Here is a 27,399-nt window from a genome sequence, read left to right on the forward strand (position 1 = left end):
AGTTACACTTGCTTTGTCCAGTTACGCTTGCTTCCAAAAGTGAGATCAGGCACCGTTTACCTTTTCCTGTGACACAGTGTTTGTTCACCGGCACTGTAATGTCCTTGCCTCTGAAGTCAAGTGTAACTCATCTGTGAAACCGTTTGTCATGATGCCTTATTGAAAGTGATGTTCTCGGACCAACTTTGTCATCCCCCTGCTTCCCCTTGGGCTGATGCTGGTGATTTATAGTTGGCTGGGCAGTTGCTTCCTCTGTGGTCCAAATTTTATTTCCATAAACATGCCGTTCTCATCGCGTAGTGCCTCAATTCACAGGCTCTGCCTTCCTCCAGCCTCCCGTGTGAGGCAAAGTGGTCTCAGGTCAAGGAATGTGACCTGGGTGGCTGTAGCTCCTCCTTCCCTCCAGCCTGCTCTCCAGGGCCCCAGGGGTCCTCCAGCAAGTCTCCTGCTTCTGTGGCCTCCATGGTCTCATGGGTCCCCTCTCTGCAGGCTGGACTAGGATGCTGTGTGCACAGCCTGGGAAAGCTGCTGAAAACGCCTTTGCAAAAACTATAATTGAGAAAATTATGTTAGTGAAATAGATTAGACCTAACTGACTTCATTTTCCTTTTAACTTTTTTTTTTTTTCTTTTTTGAGACAGAGTCTTGCTCTGTCACCCAGGCTGGAGTGCAGTGGTGCAATCCCAGCTACTGCAACCTCCGACTCCCTGGTTCAAGTGATTCTCCTGCCTCAGCCTCCCCAGTAGCTGGGATTACAGGTGCCTGCCACCACGCCCAGCTAAGTTTTGTATTTTTAGTAGAAACGAGGTTTAACCATGTTGGCCAGGATGGTCTCGATATCTGTCCACCTCGGCCTCTCAAAGTGCTAGGATTACAAGCGTGAGCCACCACGTCCGGCCTCCTTTTAACTTTTAAACTGTCTTTGTTTATTCCTGGGTGTAGGCAGCGGGCAAGGTGAACCCACTGGGCATTAACACTGCAAGGGCAGAGGGCGGCCATTGCCCGGGAAGAGGGGCTGCTCCAGGGCCCCCTAAACACACTTGGCACAGGGCGCTGAGAGCCCCAACAATCCAGCTTCGACCCTGTTCCTCTGGGTTGTGAGGGAGGGGGCTCTGGTTGAGGCGTGAGGATACAAATGTCTTTTCATGGTTAGTGAGCTTGATTTACCCCTGTAAGATACTTCACCATATAATACGTGGGCCTTCACTTACATCATGCATTTCAAGCCAGGGCAACAGATCGTACACATCACAGGGGCCTGGGGCACTGCGGAGACCCTCATGCATGAATCAGATACTGCATATTTGTGGTTTCAAAACTTAATTAGTAAAGGAGATCACGATTAGGAAAAAGAGCCTAAAACACTCCTTAGGGTGACAGTAATTATGAGAAACACTGTCAGGGACAGGCCAGTTGCAGATTGCATGAAACTCCGGCTTCACCATTTAATTGCGTGTGTCTGTCATTTTAGTTACGTTCTCATCTGCACGCCTGATTTTCTTTTTCTTTTTGTCCTTCATCAGGTTCAGCAGGATTCCTGTATTCATGCATCTGTTCAAAGAAACAATTATTGGGTTTATGCATGTTTTCTAAGACTGTTTTTGTCTTGAAATTAATTAACTTTCATCTTGTGAATCTCCCTTTTGTCTTTTATTTGGTGTTTTACTGCCTTTCTTTATTATTAAATACCTAAGTGTATGGTTTTCCACTTTAACCAGGGCGACACTCCATCTTCCTCCAGCACCTGTGACGTTCTCCTCTGAGCTGTCGGGCGAGTAAGCGCTTTGCTTCCTCACTTTGTGGTGAGTTTGAAACTTCTGGCATGTCTTGGGTTCTGGGCCAAGTGATGTCCACAAATCAATTCTTCTTTTCTATGGGGCTGACAATTTTGCTCACCATTTTATTATCTATTTTTAATTGTATCGGGGGTTAGAATTGGAGAAAAAGGCCTGTAAAAATCACAACCGAGTTTTATACTTACGGTATTCGTTGTCAAATACATGATTGGTTTTGAAGACAATCCCCAAACATGAAATAAAACAACCAGATAGCCTCTGATTAAGGTTCAATCTGTGTTAATTGCTGAATTGAGTGTATTTATTTCACAATTCAATTCTTTTGTCTGTTTTAGTTTTTATCTCAGACATATATTTGATTCCGAAACAGACAGAATTTCTCGCTGACGCTCCTTTGATCCAGATCTTGTATTTGTGATCCTCTTGGCTTTATTCATTCAGCTGCTGTATATTTTGGTGCATGCACGAAGTTTTGTGACTGTTAAAATTTCTTTGGAAGCCGTGCTTCTTATAATCATGCAATGTTATATGTTCGTGCCAGTTTACTACTTTTCACCTAAAATTCTAAAATTCTAGAAGGGTGTTAATATGCCTGTCTGTTTTGTTTTTGTTTTGCTTTGTTTTTAGCATTTGCATTTTCCTAAACAGAAACTCCAGGCCCCACACCCCCAGTCACTGAGGTTCTTGAGGTGCCTTTATTTTTCTTGTGGCTTCTTCTCTATCCAAGAGATGCAAATGAGGTGGCCTCTTTCCTTTCTCACTGAGTTTTGGCCTTAGAAAAATGTAAAGTGACTTAAAATTATTGCTAAACATTACAACCTCATTGTGGAAACTGACTTAGAAACTATAGATAAATGGAAAGAAACTGACTTAGAAACTATAGATACATGGAAAGAAACGGACTTGGAAACTATAGATAAATGGAAAAAAACTACAGATAAACGAAGTGTAATGTCACCGTCCAGGAGGAAACATCACGGCTGCCTATGGCTGCTCGGACTCCCTGGGACGAGACGCTGGGCAGGGTTTAGGGAGCAGGCTGCGTGTCTAGGAGTAACATGGGCCCAGCTGTGGCTCATGGGGGTGGCCACGCAGGGGTGACAGAGGGAGGGGAGCCCAGTGCACCCCGAGCTGAGGGAAAAACTGCAGTCACAGTCCAGTGCTTCAGTCCAACACTTCATGCAGGTTCTCAACCGCCACGCATGCATTCCGTCTTCTCTTGCCGGTGACTGTAAATTTTAAAACCAAGACATGGACGTGGACTTCCTGGGTCTTGCATGTGTTTCCAGTTTGTCCTGGATCCGTAGGAGGCTGGGATTACAGAGTGAGATGTGCGAGGCTTACAGGAAGCCAAGAGGAAGTGTTGAGTTGACGGCCTGGTAGACCGTCCCAGAATCCAGGGGGGCGTGTGGGCTGTACGTGGGCAATGGACAGTCAGCCCGTGCCAGCTGCCAGGGTTTCTGGGGGATGCTCCAGAGGAGTGGGCAGGAGAGCAGAGGAGGGTCCCTGCCAAGAGGGTCCTTGGGAAGAGGCGGGGACCTGCCCTGAAGCCTGAGGTGAAGGAGAGGAGAGCGGGGGCACCTCACAGAAGCCACAGGAGGGAGGCCTGTTGGGAGGATGGAAACCTGCTGAGTTTGAGGGTGAAGGACCGAGGAGGATGCCTGTTGGGAGGATGGAAACCTGCTGAGTTTGAGGGTGAAGGACCGAGGAGGATGCCTGCATGGTCTCCTCTAGAGAGAGCAGAGGGAGTAGAGACAGAGCATCTCTGCGGTTGTGACTGAAAGTGGGAGCTACTGTGGCACCCAGGTCCAAGAGGGAGCTGCATCCTTTGCTTGCGTTTAGACACAGCACATTTGTGTAGCCCTGACGGCCACCCCATGGCCCCCGCTGCCAGCCCCCTTCTAACCTGTGGCCTCCTTCAGTTCAGAAGACGATTAGGGGACAAGCCGTTGACTTGGTTACTGAGAGAGGCTGGGCTGGAAGAAAAGGCGCGGATGTGTTTGACAAGCAGCCCAGGGAAGAGTGAGTCCCAGCCCTCAGCAGTCTCCCCAGGACTGAAACAGCCTAGGCCCTGCACCCAGGGAACAGTGAGTCCCAGCCCTCAGCAGGCTCCCTGGGAATGAAACTGCCTGGGGCCTGCAGTCCCACGTGGTGGTAAAGAGCCTGTCCCTGGAAAAGCTGTGGGGGCCCTGCAGTGGCTGAGCCCAGAGGGAGAAAGGAAGGGGCAGGCCACATGCTTGGTTGTGCACCTGCTCTCCTGCTCTGGCCAGACCAGCTGTTCTCCCCTGTGCAGGCGGTGCAGTGGGTGTCAGAAGGAGGGCGGCCTTTGCAGGCATCACTCTGGAGGAGGAACATCAGCCTCGGGAATACCCCTCCTCTAACAGGGGTACATGGGATGCCCCCACTGGCTCTCATCACTTCCTCTGTTGCCAAGGGGACTGGCCAGGCCTCCATGGGCCTCCACTGTGGGTCTCCACATTGGGATTGATGGTGATGCATTTGAGCCAGCACATCCTCTGCGGTGGATGTCCAGTCCTCCTCATAGCAGTGGTGAGATGCTGAGGGCCCAGGCATGTGTGGGAGGCATGTGAGCCCCGGACACACACCAATGGCCGATGGCCACCCTGCTCAGCTCACTCCTGGCCTTGCTGGACCTGTCTCTCATCTGTAAAATGAAAAGATTGAAGCAATTATTCCAATTGCTCTGAGGGCCTTTGATTCTAAGCTTTATTTCTGGAGAAAAAATATGTTTATGTTGAGGTCATTTTAGCAAATTGTTTCCCAGAGTAAATTTTATTTTAAAGGCAACTGTAACTCACTTGTTTTCTTCCTATTGTCCAAATCTTTACACTGAAAATGCTGGTGTGTCTTTCTCAGTGTCTAATTCAAGCAGCTCAGATTCCTCAGGACAAGGAGGAGCAGGGGCCCCTTGAGGAAGCCAGGACAAAATTCTGGTGGGCGCAGAGCACAGGCAGCTCTGTTGGTTCTCACTCAAACCCTCTCAACAAAGGGGGGCAACAATGGCAAACTCCATAATACCTGTTCCCATCCATCGTCCACCCATCCATCAACTCATCTATTATCCACCCATCCATCAACCCATCCATCCACCCATTCATCCACCATCCACCCATCCATTCATCCATCCATCATCTACTCATCCATCAATCCATGCAGCTAGCCATGCATAATCCACCCATCTATCAATCCATTCATCATCCACCCATCCATCAATCCATCCATCCATCCATCATCCAGTCAACCATTAATCCATCATCCCCACTCCATATATCTATCTTCCACTCATCCATCCATCATTCACTCATCAATCAATCCATCCATTCACCCATCCATCAATCCATCTCTCCCTCATCCATCAATTCATCATCCACCCTTTCACCCATCCCTCCATCCATCCATCCATCCATGCATCCCTCCATCCATCTATTCATCCACCTATCCATTCATCCATCATCTACCCATCCATCAATCCATTTATCAGTCCATCCATGAAGCCATCCTCTTCCATCCATCCCTTCACCATTTGCCCACCTGCCCATCCCTCCATCCCTTCACCCATCCATCATTCACGCATCCACCAATCCATCTATCTATTCATCCCTTCACCTACCCATCCATCCCTCCATCCCTATACCCATCCATCCATCCATCCATCCATTTGTCCTCTACCCACCCACCCATCTGTCATCCACCCACCTATCCATCTTTTCATCCATCCATTCATTATCCACACACACACCTGTCTGTCATCCACCTACCCATTCATCTTTTCATCCATCCATCCATTGATCTATTCATCCATCCATCCAAGGGGGATTTATGGAGCTCCTGCTTCCTGATTGCTCTGTTGTGTACCTGAGGCCCTGCCTCTACAGCTCAGCAGTCTTGTCCTGTATCATGTGATCATAAAGGTAAGGGGGCAGAGGAAAGAAGGCAAGCATGGTTAGGGGATCGAGGGTGGAGTGAGAAACTAAAACCTAGAAAGCTCAGGGGACCCCCACTTGTCACACCAGCTCTGGCCACTCTCATTTTCAGTTATAGCAGATTAAGCTGCACACACCGGATAGACAGATACACAGCCAGATACAGACTGACATAAAGATGGAGGTAGATGGATCCACAGATAATAGACAGATAGATACAGAGATCAGTGAGTAACAGATAGATAAGAGATAAATATAGATGATAAAAAGATGATAGATGGATGAATGATAAAGGGTTAGACAGGTGGATATGCAAACTTTTATACCTACAATTCAGACACAACATTGCATCTGTGTGTGTGTGTGTGCGTGTGGGCACTTGTGCCAGACACATGGCAGATTTTCAATGAGCATTTGCTGCTTGAATGTCTAAGGGGCATCAACTGGTTTTCCTAGAATCCCTAGAGGGGTCTGCCAGGGAAGGAGTCTCCGGCAAGATTTCTCAGAATTGGTGTAGAACGTGCAGAATTCTGAACCTCACATGAGTGGTGGGATTTGGGGCTTCTCAGGACAGGGCCCAGGAGACACTGTGTAGGCTGCATCTGGGGAGCACAGGCCTGCAGGAGGCTGCACAGCAGCCTGGTCCTACAAGCAGAGGCCGTGCTGGCCCTGAGGCTTTGCAGTTCTGTCCAACTGATCCCCCCTCACAAGGGAGACATCGAGGTTGGGGTGGGAGTGGTGACGGCCCCAGCACCGGGGAGTCCTGACACAGGGACCTCCACCCTCCACACGGGGCTCAGCCCACAGAGGCTGCCGCACCCCGAAGCTGCACCCTGCAGCCCTCACACTGGCCTGTGTCTCCCCATTCCGACACCAATCAATAGCCATCTGCTAAGAAGGGAAAGTGCAGACAGGTGTGCTGGGCGCATAATGGTGCTGTGGCCGTCCCTCCCATATGGGCACCTCCTGGGGTGTCCGATTTCCTCACTCAGTTGCCCGGCTGCCTCCCCCAGGAAGTCCCCCTGGATGCCCTTGCCCAGGGCGAGTGAGTTTCCCTCCCTTGGGGCCCCTCACTCTGGACATGTGTCGATCCACCCCTGACAGTGGCCCTCAGCTTTCATGTCCCACCCACAGGGACTCGGGATCCCTGAAGACAGAGGCCACATTCAATTCATCTCAGTCCCAACACCAAGCACAATGTCTGCAGAAAGCAGTGACTCAATACATTTTTTGTTTAATTTGCCCAATTTGGTCAATAAAAAAAAGAACTATTATCCTGCACTAGAATTCCCAGCTGAATTTGCTGCCTGAAATCTGCTCTAGAAGGAAAAATAGACGTTAGCTCCGAGTCTCTGCAGACTGCACAGCTCTAGGTTGATGTAATTAACTTCTCTGGCCTCCAAGGTAGTTTGATGTTAGTTCAATTTTATTATATTTCAGAATTTTCTCTCAGGTTTTTCTTCAATTCCTCAGCTTCATTCAAAAATAGTACCTAGACGAAGTCTTGACAGAGAAAGAGATGTTATTTGTGTCTCTGTTGCATCTTAAATTATATTGAATTGTTTTCTTGACGCAAGCGCCCCACCCTCAAAGTCCCCACTGCAGCAAATGCAGCCCGGCTGGGGGCAGCTGGGGCAAGGATGGGCCAGGCATTGTTCATCGCAGTGCTGGTCCACTCTGCAAGGGCTGTAACGGAGGGGGCAGCCTCTCCCTGAGTAAAGCTGAGGGCTTCCCATGCCTGCTCCAGGTCCTTCTGCCCTCTTGAAAACATTGTTTGAAGAAATACCTCGGGGAAGAAGAAGTGCAACTCTGTGGCTGATGGAGGAGCATGGGCGTGCTTTGCAATCAATAGGAAGCCACTCGGCGGCTTGAGAGCTGTCCTAGGAGGCCGGCGGCATTTCCTTTGGAATCCCAGACAGCAAATGCAGAGGACGGGTGGGGACTTGCAGAGCGGTGGTTTCAGCGGATACCTGAGTGCCTCCGGGAATGAGCTCAGGAGGCGTCAGAGGCCTGGATGGTGTCTGCGGCAGAAATGGGCCTCTGGTCAGCCCTAGGGGGTCAGGGCTGAGGGGTGGACGGTCCCTCCATCACAGTCTTGGCGAAGCTCAGGACCCGCCCCCAGCTGCGAAACCCTCCCTGAGGTGGCTCCCTGCCTGCTGTGAGGTGAGGGAGGACACAGGGGTAGGTCTGTGGCTGTCCTCCTCCTCCGTAACTCAGCCCAGCAACCTGGCAGTGCTTCCAACTCGGGTCGCCTTTATTCCTGTCCCCTGATATCCCAAACATCCGTAAGTCTTGTCTATTTCACATCCTGGATGTCTCCGAAAGGCACTAATTTCTCTCCATCTGGACCACTGGCACTGGCCCAAGCCACTAGTGTCTGGAGCCCGGGCAGGTGGAAAGCTCCATCCATCAGACCCGTGCCCCCTGCCCACCCCTGAGGCCTTCCCTGGTCTCTGTCACAATGCTACCTTCACGTCACGTCTACCTTCCTCTGCCCTTTAAGTCCATCTTGCATGGAAATAGGTTCCCCTAAGCCTGTCCCCTTGTAGTGCCACTTTGGTGGATAAAACCCTAAACCCCTGTCTCTGCGATGATCCCACCAGAAGCCTGGGCATCAGGCCAACTTCCTCTGTCCCCAAGTGCTGCTAATTTTACTTCCCAAGTACTTCTCAAATGCACCCCTCATTCCTAACATTTGTAATTCCCAAGGGCTTCCCCTGTGCTCAGCTTCCAGAGGGTCTCCTTACCTGCAGTCTGGCCTGGATGACTCTCTGACATCCAAGTATGTGTTGCACTCTCCTTGGGAGACCTGCCCTGCTCCGACTGGATGCATCTCTCACCAGTGCCACGCTGGTCGCAGACAGCCGGTACACGGCAGGCTCCTGGCCTCTGCACTGCGGCTCTAGCTGCTGCCTCCACCTGCACTGCTCAGCTCTCCTTCTCTGGAAGCCTTTCTCCCTTGCGCTCGACCCTCTAGACTTGGCGGCAACGTCCCTGCCTGCAGGAAAACATCCTTGAGCTGAGCTTCCTCACCTAGAATTGCTGAACATCTCCACGTGACATTAAAATTATCTGTTTTGTTCCTGCCACTAAGATTACACATGATCAAGGAAATAGTACGTAAAAATGTGGTCAGAATGCACAAAAATGTAAAACTCAGTGTATACGTAACATGCAGATAACCAATCCTAGAAGGCAAAAAAAAAAAAAAAAAAGCTAAAGTTGCATGCATGGCAAACCTGGCAAAAGGTCGACAATCACCATGGATGAGAACGACACACACCAATGGTGGCTATGGCCAGATTACGCACAGCACGAAGGCGCAAAGGCAGCGCGTGGAACCACATGGGACAGCCAGGCGGATGGAAACCAAAGACGGCGAAGCACAGGAGGGTTTGCGGTGGTCTCCGGGCTTGTCTCCGGGTCTGTGAGTGCAGGAATGTCATACGCTTGGATACCTCCAATTCTAGACAGCTCCTTCTGTCCATTCTAGACAGCTCTTTCTGTGCCGCTTGTGGGGAGGATGGGAGTGAATTTCTAAAATACTTATTCATTTTGCCTTGGTATTGGCATTCTAATGACAAATATTGAGGTTATAATTCTAAGTAAAATAAAACTTTTATCCAAAGCTCTATGAACAGCTCAACAAGTGAAATAATCTAAATGTCCAAAAATATGGAAAGATGATATAAACTGTGATGTAGCCATTTGATCAGTATTTCTGAGCTACTGGGTACACCTATACGTGTATATGTATATGTGCATGTATATGAATGGGTATGCATACATATATTTTTTTAAATGTGGTCCCCGCCCTAGGATCTGTAACCCTAAATGGGTTAGGGGACTCTGGCCTCTTTGCATAAGTCTTGGGAGGAACTCTCTTATGTAGAGGTCAGAGCCCCAGTTTTCCAGCCCTCCTTGCAGAGAGAAAATGGGCCGTGGCCCAGGTCCTGCCAGTCAATGCTCCCAGCAGGGCCGAGCAACCAGGGGCTGGCAAAGACCCTGGGAGGCTGGCTTTGCCCAGAGCAGCAGCAGCGCCCAGCATCCATGGTGCCAGCACAGGAAGGCAAGCTCCGGGATGAGTCCGGCGGCACAGGGGTTCTGTCTTTCTGTGGTTCTGTCTGTCTCAGGGGTTCTGATCCTGGGCAGCAGCCCTGAGTTCGTGGCCACCACGCCTGGTTTCTCAGCCCTTCCAGAAGGGCTGCAAGCGATGCAAGAGGAATATATTTCTTTTCCTTTTTCTTTTTCTTTTTGCTCAAATGGCTGGACTGGACTTGCTTTCTGTCGCTTGCACGTGAGAAGGCCGTCTGAGTATTCTGGTTTGGCCTCTCAAAGTTTATGGGGAAATTCTTATGATATAGTGCTTAGTAAAAATTAGTACTAAACAGCTAATCAATAAATTATAATAGTAAACAAAACTAAAATTGACTGAAAAACATAGCACAAAAATTCTACAATCTATATGAGCAAATCACAACCAGAGATATGTAAAAAGGGGTAATATGTCTTGGCCAAGTAGAATTTACCCAAAAAATATAAAATTGGTTCAAGATTAAGAAAAAATATCAATGGATGAAATCTACTACCTTATTAGAATAAAGGGGGGAGCTATCATATTTCAGGAAAAAATGTCAATAAAATTCAAAATCAATTTAAGATAACTCATAGTAAACTTGAATAGAAAAAATGTCCTTAATTCTGTAAGGGGCATCTATGAATAAAACCTACTGCAAGCATTACAGTTAATGTCAAAGTACTGCAGCTCTCCACCTGTGATGGTTAACTTCCTGTGTCTATTCGGCTAGGTTACAGTGCTCAATCATTTGGTCAAACAGCAGTCAAGGTGTTACCATGAAGGTATTTTTTGGTGTGATTAACATTTAAATTAGTAGACTTTGAGTAAAGCAGTTGACCCTCCACAATGCCGGTGGGCCTTGTCTAATCAGTTGAAAGCTTAAGAATCAAGACTGTTTCCTGATGAAGAAGGAATTGTAACCCCAGATGGCAACATGGAAACTCTGCCAGAGTTTCCAGCCTGCCAGCCTACCCTACAAATTTCAGACTTGCAAGCCTGTGGAATTGTGTGAGCCGGTTTCCTTAATATGTCTATCTATCTATCTATCTATCTATCTGTCTGTCTGTCTGTCTGTCTAGCTATCTATCATCTATCTATCTATCCACCTATCTATCCATCTATCATCTATCATCTATCTGTCTCCATCTGGACCATTAGCTCTGTTTTTCTGGAGAACTCCAACACAGACTTGGGGACAGAGACTGGTTCTAGAGAAACCAAATCTTAAGACGGAGTTTTCTGAATTTGTTCTAAGGTTTCTGGAATTTAGTTCTCTAAACTGATTAGGTTTAAACCATGAATGAATGATTCTATTTCCAATAGTGAGGAGACCACTAATAGTCTGTGGTGTTGAGTAAAAAAATTATACCAGACATTTGTTTAAACATGGCACGAATGAATGTATTAAACATGGCTGCAATGGAGGAGAGAAATTGAATCAACTCTGACTACAGAAAAGACAGCTGGAGACTTGAACCAGCAGGCATGGTGAGGAGATCATCGGATGGAAAAGTAGCAAGAGGAAGTTGATGAGGTAGCAAGTATGGGAGGATTCTTGCTAAACTGACTCAACAGGACGCTTCGTAAGGCAGGGAGAGGTCCTCAGACATCAAGAGCGAGGGGTGGGGCCAGAATTTGGTAATGGAGGGGGGATTCTTGTTAAATTATCTTTGAGGGATTCTTTGCTAAAACTGAGCTGGGAAGGGGAGCAGGCTCAGGCCAAGGCCTCATTGGGAAGAGGACTCTCAGGAGCCTGACTGAAGTTTGGTCGAGGAGGGAGTCCTTGTCTATGCATGAAGTGGCAAGAGAGAAATGCAGAATATCACCATGGGATGCTCCTAATCCAATACTCGTAAGAGTCGAGGTTCTGGGGGACTGTGTATACTATACTTTTGAGCATTATTGTCCAAATAATGAGTATATTGAGATTTACTGGTTTCGCCTAATGTTGATGGACAAAGTGGGGAAAGAAAAGGATGAGCTCAGGGACTAGAATTCCCAACTCAATCACTACACGAATAACCTGAAAGCTTCTCTGTCTGCCCTGAAAGAAACCCTTCCCTCCTGTAGCTGCAGGGCTGAGAGTGAAACCCAAACCCAGAGTCTCATTCTGTGTGTGGCTGAATTACAACTGCAAGTTGACCTCCCAGCCTCACAGGGCTGTTTTCTGTTAAAGTGAGTGCATTCATTCCTAAAATCAGGAATGAGCCACTCACATTCAACATCATACTGGAGGTCCTTGGCAGTGCTATGTTGAGAAAAATGAAAAGAGATAAAAAAATAGAAAGAGAAAAAGAAGTAATATCTTTGTAGATGACATGATTATGTGTGAAGAAAATTCAAGGTAATCTACAAGCAAGTCGTTAGATTTAATTAGTGAATTTATCAAGGCCAATATAAAAACTAAATATTATTTCCATATGCTTGTAACAAACAATTAAACAGTTACTTTAAAAAGTACTACCTACAATAGCATTGAAAATTAAATATCTACTGACATATGTGCAAGAAATCTATATTAAAGAAAAATAAATATTGCTGAGAGAAACTAAGAGGGTCTAAATAAATGTAGAGATGTACCATCTTCATGGATTGGAAGACACCGTATCAACATGTCAGTTCCTCCCACACTGAGCTACAGATTCATATAATTTCATTTAAAACTCCATCATATTTCTTTTGTAGAAACACCTAAGGTGATTTTAAAGTGAATAAGGAAAGTCAAGTGACACAGAAGAGACAAGACAACCACTGGAAGAAATAACTCATTGGAAGACCAACCACCAAACTCCAAGACTCTCCGTAAAGCCAAAGCAATGTAGACACCATGGTATTAGCATGAAGTTAGATAAATGAATCAATGGAACATAATGTGAAGGCCTGAAATAGACCTACACATATGCCAAAGATTCACCGGAGAAAGGAAGGGTGCCTCAGTAAATTGCCTTAGTCAATCCCCATGGAAAAAGGAATCTTCATTTCTACCTCATGCCATTGATTTGAAGTGATCATTGTCCTAAATGTAAAAGCAAAAATAAAAAGCATTTAGAGAAAAACAAAATAGGACAGCAAGACCACATCTCTCTGACCCTCACCTTCTTTCAAGGGGCTCACCTGATTAGGCCAGGCTTACCTAGACAATCCCTTTTGATTAACTCAAAGCAAATGGATTAGTAGCTAATCACTGGAGTGGTTTCTCATCATATTCCCAGCCCCGGCTTCCCACACACACTGGTGGGGAGGCGCTTATTCAGAGGGTGTACTCTGGTGCAGGAATCTTGGAGGTCACCTTAGAATTCTGTCTAGCACAGACATTGTGTCCAAAACATGCTGATTTCTCAAATATATGTCTATTGAGTGTGAAAGCTTCTGCTAAATACCTGAAGTTAAAACTAATGAGCGTGGAGTAATTGCAATAGACAGTGGCCTGCTGTGTTTCTTGCAGGAGTGGAGCTCAGAATTCAGGACCCCTCGCTCATCTGCAGGTGTGTGGGGTAAGCCAGGTCCACTCAGGACTGGGCTGTTGTGAGCTGGCCTGGGGGCCAGAGGTGCTGGGACGGCCTCCAGGATGTGAGCGTCCACCTTGGGACCCGTGGAGGGAGCTGCCTGGTGTTTTGAGCAGGAGAGGTTGAGCTTTCTCCCCTTTCCTTATTCACTTCACTGGAGGAATGCTGTGCCCACCAAGGGTCTCTGCTCCAGCCTGTCTGGGTGGAGAGGGCCAGTGATGGATAACGGTGGAGGGGAGTGGCCAGAGGGGGCCCACAGTGCTAACATCTGTGTTGCGGGGGTGCAGAGGGGCAAGTCCTGGAGTGGTGGGCTTGGAGCCAAGAGGACCCGGGCAGAAAGGAAGCCCCCACAGTGCTGACCACCCACGTGGGAGGAGGAATAAGAGCTCTTCCAGCTTCCGCAGGTGTTGGGTCGGGACTCACGGGGGCTCCATTAAAGGAAAGGCAGGCTGAGGGGCCAGCTGTGCACTCTGGGTTCATGACTGACCCATGGAACAGACGGGCGCAGGGGCCAGGCAGACAGAAGCCAGGACAGACCTGTCCTCCAGGGGAAGGTGATGTGTGAGGTCTGAACTCCAGTGTGGGAGAGAGGGGCCTATGTTCCTGACCCCACCTCTCCCTTCCCCTGCTTCTGGGTCGAGGAGAGGACCTTTCAGTGTGAGTGGGGAGGGGCTGAGACACAGGCTCCCCCGGCCCGGGGCTCTGCGGCCACCGTGCTGACCCCGCACAGACCTTCCAGGTCCTGAGCAGCCCTCGGCCAGAAGCAAATCCGTGTGGACAGGAGCTCATGGTGAGATTGAGACTTTATTTAGAAATCAAAAAGAAAAAAAAGAAAAAAAAAGCCCTCAACAAGCAAGAGAACATGACAAATTCTTGCTACCATAGTAACTAAGACGGTTGGAAGGATGAGCTGGGGGAAGAGCCTGGAGGACCAGTGCAATCGTCCGCGGCCTCATCTCCCGAGACCCCAGATGCCTTCTGCGGCCGCTTTCTCCCAAATTCCCAACCTGGCAGTGGGGAGGAGGCTGGCTTGTAAAATATGGTTTTGAGCCCGACCTCCATGCTCCGTGCCCACCACAAAGCAGCCTCCCACAAGCCAGCCCCCCAACAAAGCAACTCCAAAGTCCCTGCCCAGCTCGGGGCCTTCCCCAAGACCCTTCCTTTGCTGTCCTGCCGCCCTGGTTTTCTGCTTAAAGCCATATCACATATGAGCTTTCTGTTGTGGCCCATCATGCAGGAGCACGCTGGGCCTGCAGGCTTGCCTCCTTCTCCATTCAGAGATCTCACTCCTCAGAACGCCGGCTGCCGGTCCTTGCTCCTCCTCCCCTGCTGTGAGGACAGTGGCCTACGTTTCCTGGGGGCTGGGCCCATGAGAGCCAGACACCAGGGTCTCTGTGAGGAGATGGGGTCAGTGGGTCCTGAAGGCACAGTGCTGTGTCCAGTTGGGGGACAGAGGAGGTGAAATCAGAGAGAAAGAGGCTGCGTGTCAGGGCTTCAGGGACCCCAGACCATGAGGAAGGACCCCAGGCCAGGAGGAAGGGAGTTGTTTTCAATTCAGTGATGAGGACATGGGCGATCAGATAAGGAGTTGTGAGCTGAGGTGGAGGGTGCACACGGCCACAGCCCAGCAGTCCCGGGAAGGCTGGCAGGGAAGCTGTGAATCCTGAAAGGTAGAACAGAGTCAGCCAGGGACCAACCAGGAAGAGCCTTCCCCACAGAGAACCCCACACCACCAGAGAGACCAGTGCAGATGGAGGGAGACCCAGTAGAGAGACCTTCCCCACAGAGAACCCCACACCACCTAAGAGACTAATGCAGGCAGAATGAGATCCAGTGGAGAACTTCCCCACAGAGAACCACACATCACCAGAGAGACCAGTGCAGATGGAGGGAGAACCTGGCAGAGACCTTCCCCGCAGAGAACCCCTCACCACCTAAGAGACTAATGCAGGCAGAATGAGATCCAGTGGAGAACTTCCCCACAGAGAACCACACATCACCAGACAGACCAGTGCAGATGGAGGGAGAACCTGGCAGAGACCTTCCCCGCAGAGAACCCCTCACCACCAGAGAGATCAATGCAGGCAGAATGAGACCCAGCAGAGACCTTCCCCACAACGAACCCCTCACCACCTAAGAGACAAGTGCAGATGGATCGAGAGCCCAGCGGAGACCTTCCCCACAGAGAACCCCTCACCACGAGAGAGATCAATGCAGGCAGAATGAGAGCCCAGCAGAGACCTTCCCCACAGAGAACCCCTCACCACCTAAGAGACCAGTGCAGATGGAGCGAGAGCCCAGTGGAGACCTTCCCCACAGAGCATCCCCGCATCACCAGAGAGACCAGTGCAGGCAGAGAGAGAACCCGGCAGAGAGGGGCCTGCACATCAGTCACCAGGAACCCCTTCATAAAGCGGCAGCAAGACCCCTTGGCACAGCCACCTGGATGCTACAGGAAAGGTAGTGAGTCGAGCTCTGACTCTGAGCTCTGCTGATCAGCAGGTGGCGGTGCCCGCACCTTAGAGGGTTTTTGGTGTTACCTGCTTTCTTTAAACATACGCATATGGTTTCCTCAGAGGACCTAGTCTTAGGGTCGTGCCCAAAGAAATGCCCACCAAAAACAGACACAAGAATGTTCACAGTAGCCTGCCTATTGCCAAAAAACAGAACCACCTCAAATGTATACTCAAAATGAGGTTTCAAAAAGGGTAATTGAAGGCCAGGCACGGTGGCTCACACCTATAATTCCAGCACTTTTGCAGGGCCAGGAGGAAGGATCACTTGCAGTTCAAGGCCAGAGTGGCAACATACGGAGACCCCAAAGAAAGAAAGAAAGAGGGAGGAAGGAGGAAAGGAAGGAAGGAAGGAAGGGAGGGAGTGAGGGAGGGAGGGAGGGAATGGGAAGGTGAATAAGATCTTGTGGCTTCAGGGCTCAAAGGGAAATTGAGTTTGCTCAGGTCCTCCTGTCCGCAGGGGAAAGGAGTGGGGAGGTGAGGGAGGGAGGGAGGGGAGGGGAGAAAAGGAGCAGGGAAAGGGAGGGAGGGAGATGGGGGCGGGGAGGGGACAGAGAGAAGCAGGGGAGGGAGGAAGGCAGAGGAGGGAAGGGAAGGAGGCTGGGGAGGGGAGGGAGGACCCTGGAGGGAGGTTCACTAGCCAGCAGTGAGGGGTAGCACCATGAGGGAACACAGGGCAGGGGCAGCTGGGTTGGGAAGGAGGACGTCCTTCGGCTGCCTGGAGGGCCCCACGGGTTACCTGGGCACCTGCCACCACCCACATCCTGGAGGAGGAGAGCTCCTCACATCCTGACTGTGTCTGGCAGGCTGAGTCCCAGGCCTATATACAGGGCCAGACAGGCCTGCAGGGCTATGAGTGACCAACATCAGCTTCCCGTCCAGGGCCCGGCCAGGTGCCTTTGGCTGGGACCTGGCTGTGCGGCCACGGAGCAGAGGAGCCTGGCCAGAGAGACCAGGGGAGGCGAACGGGACCCCACTGGGCTCCAGAACCCACCCTGCTCCCTCCACACAGCTGGGCCTGGGCAGGTCAGCCACTCTGGCTGGAGTCTGGGGGCGGAAGCGAGTCAGGGCTCAAGGCTCCTCCTGCTCTGTTCACTCCTGGGTCCCCTTGAGTGTCTGGTTCCTGCCGGTTTTCCCAGGAGACCCCAGGCCAGCTGCAGGAGGCCGGGGTTGGACCTTCCATCCAGCTGAGTCCACTCACCTCCAAGAGCTCTGATCAGGGCCCTCTGGGTGCTGCTGTCCACACAAGGCCGGCTCTGTCTCTGCCTCCCTGCCCCACTCAGGGAGGGTTGGGTCATGGTAGGGAGGCCCTGGGGTGCTCAGAGCGTCTGGGCAGCAGGAGTACATCGCTTCCAAGAAGGATCAGTTTCCCAACGCTGAGGCCAACACTGTCTGGAGCCCTGAGGAGGGCCCCAGGTGGCAGATACCAGGACGGGTGCAGCCTCTGCCACCCTCACCTCCCCAAAGCATCCGGTCTCAGGCACAGGGAATTGTAGCCGAGGGCCAGGGTCCCAGGAGGATCAAAGGTGGGACCTTCCAGGGTGGTCTCCTGTGACCGTCACTGCTTTCAAACCACCAGGGGCAGCGCGTCTGCCCCCACAGCCTGTGCCACCAGGAGAGACCAGGCCATCCATCTGGGTTTAATTTGGAAATTAGGCAGTGTTCAAGTTCCATTATGTGGCAGAATTAGCCGCAGAAGCCAAGGCAGCGTCACGCATGGAGAATGAGCTATGGCTTCGTTAATCAGGGGAGACAGCGCTGGGAACCAGGAGGCCGGCGAGGTCACCAGAGGAAGGAGGGGCTGCAGCCGCCGTGGGGTGCCAGACACCTGGGCCCCACCTCGCCGCCATCTGCCCTCATAAACCCGGGTCTGGTGGGCTCCCAGCTCTGGCCGGCCCATTCCAGGCCAGACATCTGCCTCACTGCCAGCTGCCCCGAGAAACCCTAATGTGGTGGGCTCCCAGCTCCAGTTCCCAGCTCCAGCCGGTCCGTCTCCGGGACACTCCCGGGTATGGGTGTTTGTTCTCTACCCTGCTCCTCTGCCCGAAGCCGGTCTCCCTCCTCAGACCTGACTCCATTCCAGGAACCCCCATGAAAGGGGCAGGTGGGCCATTTGACGGGGAGGTTGGGATCTCTGCTGGGTGATAGGGGCTTAAACCACCATCTGTGGCAACGCTGGGAGGACAGGACAAGACTCAGCGTGTCCGGGGGAAGCCGGTGCAGCCCGGCCCTGAGGGCCTCAGAGCGCAGTGCCAGGGGAATCTAAGCCTGAGGAAGGACAGTGACAGGAGCGGGGAGAAGAGACAGAATGTGGCAAGGGCAGGAAGTGACAGGGAGCCCTCGCGTCCTCCTGTGCCTCCTCCCGGGGGTCAGCCTCGAGGGAGGGGCCTCTCCAAGCCTCCCAGAGGCAAGACTTGTCCCCATGCTGGGCCTGTGTGTCCCACTGGAGGCAGGACTTGTCCCCACGCTGGGCCCCTGTGTCCCGGCCAGACTGCTGATTCTGACCTGGCGTGGGCAGCCCCTGAGTACTGAGAGATCCTCACCCACAGGGCCCCTGCTGAGGTGGCTTCCCCGGTGCCTGGAGGGTGACCAGAGGGTGACAGTTGCCTCTGTGCTGTGCCCCTCTCTGGACAGGCCACATGGCCAGCTCCTCCTGCCTGCTGGGTCTGGGTACCATTGGCAAGCTGTGCCAGGGCCACCCACCCCAGGGCCTGCGGAGGGGCCTGAAGTTCTCAGTCACTGGGGCTCCCCGTCCTGCAACCTGCTGTGAGGGTGGAGCTGCTCTGACAGGGGAGGGGAGGGTGTCGGATTGGGGTGGCCTGGGACAGCCACAGCGGGGACACGGGCACACAGCGGGGACACGGGCACACAGTGGGGAGACAGGCACTCAGCAGGGACATGAGCACACTGAGGGGAGATGTCCGCTGTTGGAAGACAGAGATAGCTTGGAGGGAGGCAGCCACAGGCCACGGAGCACCAGGAGCCACCAGCATTGGGAAGGGCCCTGCAGTCCCCGGGGGCACAGCCGGTCCTTGCCTTGATCTCAGGTTTCTCCCTGTGAACTGTGAGAGGAGGGATCTGTTTTCAGCCACCTGGCCTGTGCTGCTTCCTGAAGGCTCTCTGTGGTGGCTGCTCTGCCCCAGGCTGACCTTTGATCTGCCCCAGGAAGAAAGAAGAAGAAGCCTGTCTTGGGGGCGGGGTCTCTGCAGCCCCCAGGCCAGCCCCTCTCAGCAGCAGGCCTGCTGCACTGGGACATCTTCTGCTCCCTGAAGAGAGGTCTCTGCCAGGGGGGAGGCAGGAAGACCCCCTGACCGGGCCGAGGCTGGTGGTTGGGAGTGGAGTGGACTCAGCCCAGAAAGCCCCCCAAACCCCCTGCCGGTCCTCTAAGGGGAAAGCCAGCCCCTGCGCATGGCCCGGCACTCCACCAGTCTCCAGGTGTGCACCCCCGCCGCTGTGCCCGCAGGGAGGAGGGCTCTGTGTGCCTGCCACCCCCTCCTCCCTCCCCCACAGGCCCTCTCAGGGCTTCAGAGGGGTTATCTCCTCTTTATGTATGTGGATCTTGCCATCTGGCTGCAGCTCCCAGAGGAACTCCTCCCAATTCTCCCCTTTAGGAGACCTCTCCCCTCCCTGTCACCCCCTCCCAGGGCCTTGCCTCACTATGGCTTTGCTTCTGTATCTTAGGGTGCAAAGATGCACCTGCCACCCAGTAGCTGTGCTAAGTGAGTTTTCCTCCCCGAGGCCCACTGGCTGGGGGGATGGGGGCCCCTAGGGTTCCAAGGACCAGGAGAGGACAGTGTCAAAGATCAAGCTGCAGGCTGCCTCAGGGCCCCAGGACCCCGCCTTGTGCTCATACCTCCCAGAAGCTGGTGCCCCCACCCCTGTCTTGGCCACTCCCCACCACTCCCTGAGCGGGTGCTTTTCCCAGCACCTGGAGCTCCAGGTGGGGTTCAGGCTGGACGGGGAGCAGAACCCTATGTGTGGGTGGGCTGCACCGCATAAGAGCCGGCAGGCGGTGTGGACACTTTACCTCTGCTGCAGTTCTCTAACTTGTTGGGGGCCGAGGAGTGACAGTCTTACCAGCCAGTGGGCCCGGGGAAGCCTCTCCTCCCATTCCAGGCTCCCCCTGGGCTGGGCTAAGGGCTGAGTACAGGAGTTGGGTCTGGGAGTGGAGCAGATGTGACGCTTGCAGCCTGGCACAGGTGTGGACTTTGGTGTCCCCTCCTGAGCCCCTGCCATCGTCATCACAGAGCTGCCCCGGGACCTGTAAGACCAGGAAGCTCCCGGTGCCCAGAAGACCTGCGGGCTGCTCCCATCAGGTTCCCCGCACACACCTGCACTGATGCGATGCTTAGCGGGGTCCCTGCCAAGAACCCCAGGCCAGGGCTGCAGGGACAGCGAGCCATGAGGCTGTCCAGTGCCCAAGAGAGAAGACAGTGGTGACTTAGTGGTGGGGAGCAGCGGAGACCCCCTCACTGGACCCTCCCGGCAACCTCCTTCCACTGGTGCAGGCCAAGGGATCAATTGCAATGGTCTGGGGCCCACAGGTGCTTGCTGGGACCACCTGCTCACAATGCTCCTGCCCACGGAACACACGAACAATTGTGGGCTCAAACCCTTCACCGTCTCCCATCCTCACCTCTGAAGTGCAAGTAATAAAAGAACCCTGGGCAAGGGTTCTGGTTTGTTTTGCTTTTCATTTTGGGGCTCAATGAGACTCTAGGAAAAGCTTTGCAGGGTGTGGGTAAGGTGGGAGGAGGGGCTACCCGCAGGTCTTTAGTCAGTGCCATCCCCAGGGCTCGGCGCCCTGTGCACGGCCAAAGTATGTCATGAGGACACAGACTCCCAGAGCTGGAGACACCAGTGGGGGCTTCCTTCCCCGACTTAGCAGTCACTGCGGGGACCCTAAGCAAGGGGCAGGGAGGTGGGTGCCCCTGAGTATCAGCCTTGCGGGGGTCCTTCTTGGCCAGCCTCCTCCCCGCTGCAGGGGAGACCTCAGGGCCCCGGAGACCCAGTAAGGCCAGGGCCTGGGGAGGGTGGGGGTCCTTCCTGGGTGGGGGCTCCCCAGGGGGCCTGGGGAGGGTGAAGAGGGTGGGGTCCTTCCTGGGTGGGGGCTCCCCGGGAAAGCGCCAAGGGGAGAGGAGACATGCTGCATCCACACGTTCCCTTCTCTTTTTTCCTTTCAGAACCTGCTTTAGGGCAGTGGGGCCAGGACACCCCCTTCTTGGGTGGTCTCACGTCCTCAGGAGACTTTGCTCTGGGGGGAGGCGGGGTCTCAGGTGCAGGAGAGGAGCTGGTGGCGGTTCAGGACTGAAGAGACTCATGGTACCTGCTGGTTTTCCAGGACAAGAAGGACATCCCGGGAAGAACACATGGGGTACGAAACGCAGGACAAGGACTTCCAGGGGAGAGCATGCGGGGCCCCACACGCCATGGGCAGCTCACCGGGATGGGTTGGGGCGTGCAGGCCTGGCGGGGAGGGGTCTTGGCAGCGGTGGGGGGCGGCCCAGGCTTCAGGGGTTCTCCCTGCTCCTTTGAGGACACGTTGACCATGGTGGGGGGCAAAGAGAACTGCCCCGGAGGCACCGTCCCAGCCGGAGCCCCTTCCTGTGCTCAGGAGCCTCACAGTCCAATATAGAAGACGTCGTGTTCAATTATTCTGCGACAAAAGCCAGGGGTTTTCACAATTCCACACCCCATTAGCTGATAATTCAGCACAGTCTCTCATCTAATGTGACTATATTTTATACAAATTATTTCGGACAAGAATTCAGTCCTTAATAACATTGATCTTCATAAAATTGTCACCCAGCATCTTGTCTGGGGCCCCTGAACTTCAGTTTGATGTTACAAATCAAAGTGGGAGACGGCTACGGACGACCTCGTGGTCCGGAGCCCATAGCGGACGCGTCGCAGGCCTGGAATTCTGAGGCCACCGTCTGCAGAGCTCCTGGGACAGGGTGGAACCCAAGCCCACAAACCCTGGAGCCCCCACCCCCAAGTCCCCTCGGGGACAGGCAAATGCCTTGTCCCTGCCACTAGCCCCTGTGGGTCCACTCAGCGCCTCCCACCCTCCTCCGCACAGTTTGGGGACCTGCTGTTTCCCGCACACTTTGAGAAGGGACTGACAGGTTCCTGGGTGGCCAGGGGCCTCGTGAGTGCCCGCCGACCCCGTGACAGGCACCTGCAGGCACCTGGAGGAAGATTCATCATGTGGCTCTGCGACACAGCAGGGCCATTGCCCTAATACGTTATCAGGCTTGTTGAAATATCAATTTTGCACATGGCTTCACACGGCTGCCTGCGGCCCTGCTCAAGCCTATTACTTAATTCTTCTCTCATTAAGAAATCCAATCTCTGATTCCAGTGGCATTGGAGGGGGTGAGGGGAGGCACTGGCTAATAGACCTCAAACCATCTGCTAATTGCGGTTCCTCAAACCCCAAGTGAAGATGAAAGGGAATGAGGGAGGTAATGGAAAATCACCAAGGTGCCCGGACAAGGCCCAGACGTTCTCAGGCAGTCCAGGCGCTGTTCCTTCCAGCACCCACCGGCTCCCCTTCTAACCCCAGACACTGAAGTGGGGCTCTGCATACAAGATTTCCAGAGTTCCTCACAGCTCTGCATGCAAGATTTCCACAGCCCCTCCCGCTCTGCACACACGATTTATACAACCCCTCCCGCTCTGCACACACAATTTCCGCAGCCCCTCCCGTTCTGCACACACGATTTATACAACCCCTCCCGCTCTGCACACACAATTTATACAACCCCTCCCGCTCTGCACACACGATTTATACAACCCCTCCCGCTCTGCACACGCAATTTCCACAGCCCCTCCCGCTCTGCACACGCGATTTCCAGAGCCCCTCCCGCTCTGCACACACAATTTATACAACCCCTCCCACAGTGCACACACAATTTCCTCTGCATACGTGATATCCACAGCCCCTCCCACTCTGCACACATGATTTTCTTAGCCCCTCCCCACTTCCTGGGGCATTCTGTCCAAACTGCTTAGGCCCTAGTGTTCTGCCAGAGGATCCAACAGCAGCTCCACCAGGGAGAGACCAGAGGATGCTGACACCCCTTTCTGATGGGTGGCTGTGCCTCCTGAACCCTCAGCAGCCTCAACTCAGAGGGGTGGGCGTTCATTCCAATGCCCCTGCCCCAGATCCGAGACAGCTCCCCTCCTCTCCTCTCTCCAGGAGGCCCTTGGGGCAGTCGATGACTTTGTGCAGCTCCGACCCCTCGTCCTCCTCCTCCAGAGGGAGGCCTGTCGACAGCAGTTTTCCATATCTCAAGCCCCTTTATAATTGAGGACATTAATTTATCTCTCCATCCTGTCGGCTCCATGGTAAGCAGGCCCCAGTCCTTACCCTAAGATTCTTGTGTTCGCCAACCATTAATCATTTCCATCTCTCTTCTGAGCCCTTTCCAACAAAGGGCTTCATGTTGGTGCACCTTGACGAAGTTGTCCACAATCTCATCAACATGTAATCAGAGCCAAATGAAACAAGGGCAGATTTTATAAGAATAATTCCCAACGTAAATGACCATAAACAACTAATTTTCTCTGTGATTCAACACACGGCTCCCTCCTCATCCGTTGCAGGGACTGTGGCCTTAGCTGTGTAAATACAAGCGCTTGGCTCCCAGCTGTTGCTCATAAGCAGTCTGGCTCTCGTCCAAGCCTGGGTACCTGTTTTGGCTCCAACCTAATACTCCCGTGTGTATTATTGGTGGCTTTCAAATAAAGGAGCGGAAGATAGTGAGCTGAGTCTGCCTCCCTGCTCCGAGGAAGAGCGGAGTGCAGGACAGATGGACGGATAGATGAGGGCCAGCCCCACCCCTCTATCAGGCAGTGGGGGCAGCCCCCCTTCTCTCCTGCACTGTGCCCTGCCCTCAAGTGCTTCTTGTCCTACAACCTGCCTTTAGAGCTTCAGTAGCCCAAACCTTGGCAGCTCCACAGCATCCGCCCAGGCGCACTTGGAAGTGGGCACTGGCTTGGAATCCTTCTTCCAGCTGTGGAGACGGTCGGGTGTCCCGGTCCTAGCCCTTCAGTGTTAGAGGCTCAGCAGGCTACGTGCACCGCCTAAGGCACGTGATTCTTTGCAGAATCAAAAAGTCCAGGGAAAGCAATGAAAAAGACTCTGCTCATTGAGAGATTTTCATTGAGTATTATTTTTTTAGACAAGAACATTGGAGAGAATGTTTTGAAAAACACATTTAACTTTGGTTATGGGGAAGATATAACAGGATACTAAAAAGTCCATATGGGAAAGGTGGGCCTTCATTAATGTCTCTTTAATTAGCCTTCATTAATTTCCCCTTAATTAGCCTTTGTTAATTTTGTCATTAGTAAATCTGCCCATCCATTTATTCACTCATTCACCTGCTGCCTTCCGAGGGCCAGGCTTCTGCAGGCTGTGGACAGCCACCCCAGGGCTGTGGCCGGGTGTGTTGTGGGTCTCCAGCTTCTCCCAGACCTCACGACTCTGGAAGCTGAGGTGAGCCCTGAAGAGGCAACAGCAGAAGCCCACAGCAGAGGAGATGGCAGCTTGGGCCAGGACGGTGGCCCTGGGCACGGAGGAGGGATGGACATAGGGAGCTTGCAGATGCAGGATGCAGGAAGGGCAGAAGGAACAGAGCCAAGGTGACGTGTGGGCACCAGGTGTGGGAGAACGGTGAGTGTCGGTGCCTCTTGTCTGGATGGTGGAGAGAGAGCAGCCGGTTTAACAGAGAGCAGCCGGTTTAACATGGAAGGTGGTTGGTTTTCACTGGACTGTGAGTTCTTGAGGGCAAAGGCCACGTCCACCTTGTTTCCCGTGTATTCTGATGCTGGCATGAATGGCAAGAGATGAAATGGAAAATAGGGAATGCTGCTGTGCTTGTGCTGAGTCTGGGGCCTGAGAAGCTCCCAGCTGCCGTGTCTGTGTGTGGCCATGGCTCCCATCTGCGGCCGCTCTGTGAGGAGCTGGTGCTGCGTGGCAGGGGCCACAGCAAATGCCTGGCACCTTTCGGGAGGTCAATCACCTGCCGGTTTCTGAGAGAGATGTGTCCCTTTTCTTTGGAATACCCCAGAATCAAAATCCATCCTCTCCACCTATGAGGGGGTTCCACCAAGCCATCGGGTGGTAGAAGGCGCAGGCTCTGGGGCCACATAATACAGACGGTCCCTGATTGACGATGGCTTCACATGGAACTTTCCAACTTTTCCATGGTGTGGACATGATACACATTCAGTTGAAACTGTGCTTTGAGGACAGAAATTCTAACTTTTGCTTTCTGTACAGTATTCCATGAATTACATGAGATAGTCCACACTTCAGTATAAAACGGGCTTTGTATTAGATGATTTTGCCCAACCGTAGGCTGACGTAAGTGTTTGGAGCATGTTTAAGGCAGGGATGGCTAAGCTATGACACCTGGCGGGTTCTGTGTGCCCACAGCATTTTCAGTTTATGACATTTTCCACTCACAAGGGCTCCTTCAGGCATGCCCCCTCATAAGTCAAGGGGCATCTCGGCTCCCACCCTGGACTCCTCACCTAGTGCCATGAGACGGGGTTGGCTGCCAAGGTCTACAGAGCCTCAGTTTCTGTATCTGAGGCTCGGGAAGAATCGGCTGTCCTGAAAGGTCACTGCAAGGCTGGTGCCTGTCACCTGCTGGCACCTTGTCATCTGCTGGCACCCTGTGGTGTGGCTGAGCCGGGACTTGGAGCGCTGGAGCCGTCATTGTCATTGGGAAATGGGTCTCATGGAACCTCCCCACTGCAACCCCAGCCTGAGGCAGCAGAGACCTCGTGCTGCCCTTCCTTCCTCCCCTGACGCCTGAGTCTCCTGCATGAGGCTCCCAGGCCGGAAGGCCCAGGAGGAGGTGCTGGCAACAGACTTGTTCACCAGGGCAGCAGCTCCAGCATGCAAGGCTGGTGATTGTGGCTTCCTGACAGACGGGGACCAGCTCAGGATCTCGGGGGCATCTGTGGGTCTGCCCCGGCCCGGGGCCCAGACGGGGAGCAGCTCAGGATCTCAGGGGTGCCTGTGGGTCTGCCCCAGCCTGGGGCCCAGCAGATGTATGTCAGTCTTTCCACAATCACCATGTGGGGGAGCAGAGGCTCTAGGGGGCCAAGGCATGGGGCGGGCTGTGTGGCTGGTTAGCAACTGGGGAAATGGAGCTGGCACCTGCTCCCCTCGTTGCTCCATTTGGTCACTGTCTCAATAAAGTGCCTTAGTCATCTGGCTGAAGAGGTTGCCCCCTCCACAGACGAGGAGCCTGGGGTCACACTGCCTGTGTGTTCTCACCAGATTGTCCATCAGGGCGGGATGGAACTGGGAGCCGAAGCCAGGACTGTGGGACCCCTGAGCCCAGGCTTATCTAGGAAGGTCCAGGGCTCGCCAGCATTCCCTTAGGCAGGGACTTCCACCTCAACAGTGTCCTGGGAAGGTGGGCATCCCGGAGCAGTCTGAGAAAGGTCCTTCTTCTGCCCCTGCAGAACACTCACTAACCATGCCCTCACCTGCATTCACCTGGGGCTCTGTGGCTGGCAGGTGCGCAGGTGTGACTGCAGCTCAGACGTTTCACCTCTCAACTTAGGATCCACCTCCCCATCCTTCCTGCTTCACCATCAAAGGACACCTGCCCCTGTTTGTGGAGACCATGGGGATGACCCCTGCGTCCCTTTCACAGGTGGACCTTTGGGCTTGTCAGGAATTTCAAATGCGATCTGAGCCAGGGCGGGTCGGCCATGCCAGGGTTCAGAGGCATGAGGCTGTATTTCTCCAAGAGACGAAAAGGCTTCTGAATAATAGAGCACAGCCCCGTGTTCTGTGTGTAATTCATGGGCCACGTGGGGGAAAGGGCTGGAGGGTGGGGCTGCCAGGGCCCCTGACATGCCAGAGCAGAGGTCTCATCAGATATGTACGTTGAATAATTTCTCTGTATTAGTTCAGTCTGCAGCCTAATTCAATTAGCTTGTTTCATCTATATTCTTTGACCTTTTTATTTAAAAAAAAAATGAAAAAAAGAAACCTTGTTTCTTTCCCCGCTGGTTTTATTTTAGCCATGATGTAATCTTTCCATCACTTTCTGGCTTTACGCTCGCTCTCTGGGCACGAGGACCTTGGAGTAGCTCCCCGCAGGCAGAGGCTGCACCAGGTGCCAGGGGCCAGAGAATGGGCCAGGGGCCAAGTGTGTGGCACCACAGACCCACCCCTCCCCTGACACCCATCAAGGCAGCCACCCACACACCCCGTCTCTCCAGGCGTGGCCGTGTGGCAGGTGACCTGAGCACCCCCAACTCCAGGCGTGACCCTGTAGCAGGTGACCTGAGCCCCCCTCTCTCCAGGTGTGACCCTGTGGCAGGTGACCTGCCCCCCCGCTCCAGGTGTGACCCTGTGGCAGGTGACCTGCCTCCCCCCGCCAGGCGTGGCTCTGTGGCAGGCGACCTGAGCGCCCCCTCTCTCCAGACATGACCCTGTGGCAGGTGACCTGAGCCCCCCTCTCTCCAGGCTTGACCCTGTGGCAGGTGACCTGCCCCCCCGCTCCAGGTGTGACCCTGTGGCAG

General features: G+C 53.1%; 4 annotated features.

Annotated features, from left to right (window-relative positions):
- Positions 287–456: an enhancer, noted in NCBI's record as "experimental_63621 CRE fragment used in MPRA reporter constructs". NCBI's record gives its function as "activates a minimal promoter by MPRAs in K562 erythroleukemia cells, with activity observed for both the introgressed and non-introgressed 22:49529444 or rs111526938 variant alleles {active_cell/tissue: K562}" and the evidence as "EXISTENCE:reporter gene assay evidence [ECO:0000049][PMID:34662402]".
- Position 372: a transcriptional cis regulatory region, noted in NCBI's record as "Neanderthal adaptively introgressed variant 22:49529444 (GRCh37/hg19 assembly coordinates) or rs111526938 in the experimental_63621 CRE". NCBI's record gives its function as "modulates activity of the experimental_63621 enhancer by MPRAs in K562 erythroleukemia cells {active_cell/tissue: K562}" and the evidence as "EXISTENCE:reporter gene assay evidence [ECO:0000049][PMID:34662402]".
- Positions 17,321–17,878: an enhancer, noted in NCBI's record as "H3K27ac-H3K4me1 hESC enhancer chr22:49546439-49546996 (GRCh37/hg19 assembly coordinates)". NCBI's record gives its function as "activates a minimal SCP1, AML or CMV promoter by ChIP-STARR-seq in primed H9 embryonic stem cells {active_cell/tissue: H9 hESC(primed)}" and the evidence as "EXISTENCE:reporter gene assay evidence [ECO:0000049][PMID:30033119]".
- Positions 19,012–19,577: an enhancer, noted in NCBI's record as "H3K27ac-H3K4me1 hESC enhancer chr22:49548111-49548668 (GRCh37/hg19 assembly coordinates)". NCBI's record gives its function as "activates a minimal SCP1, AML or CMV promoter by ChIP-STARR-seq in primed H9 embryonic stem cells {active_cell/tissue: H9 hESC(primed)}" and the evidence as "EXISTENCE:reporter gene assay evidence [ECO:0000049][PMID:30033119]".

The sequence above is a fragment of the Homo sapiens genome, chromosome 22, assembly GCF_000001405.40.
Source record: "Homo sapiens chromosome 22, GRCh38.p14 Primary Assembly".
Lineage (NCBI taxonomy): Eukaryota > Metazoa > Chordata > Mammalia > Primates > Hominidae > Homo > Homo sapiens.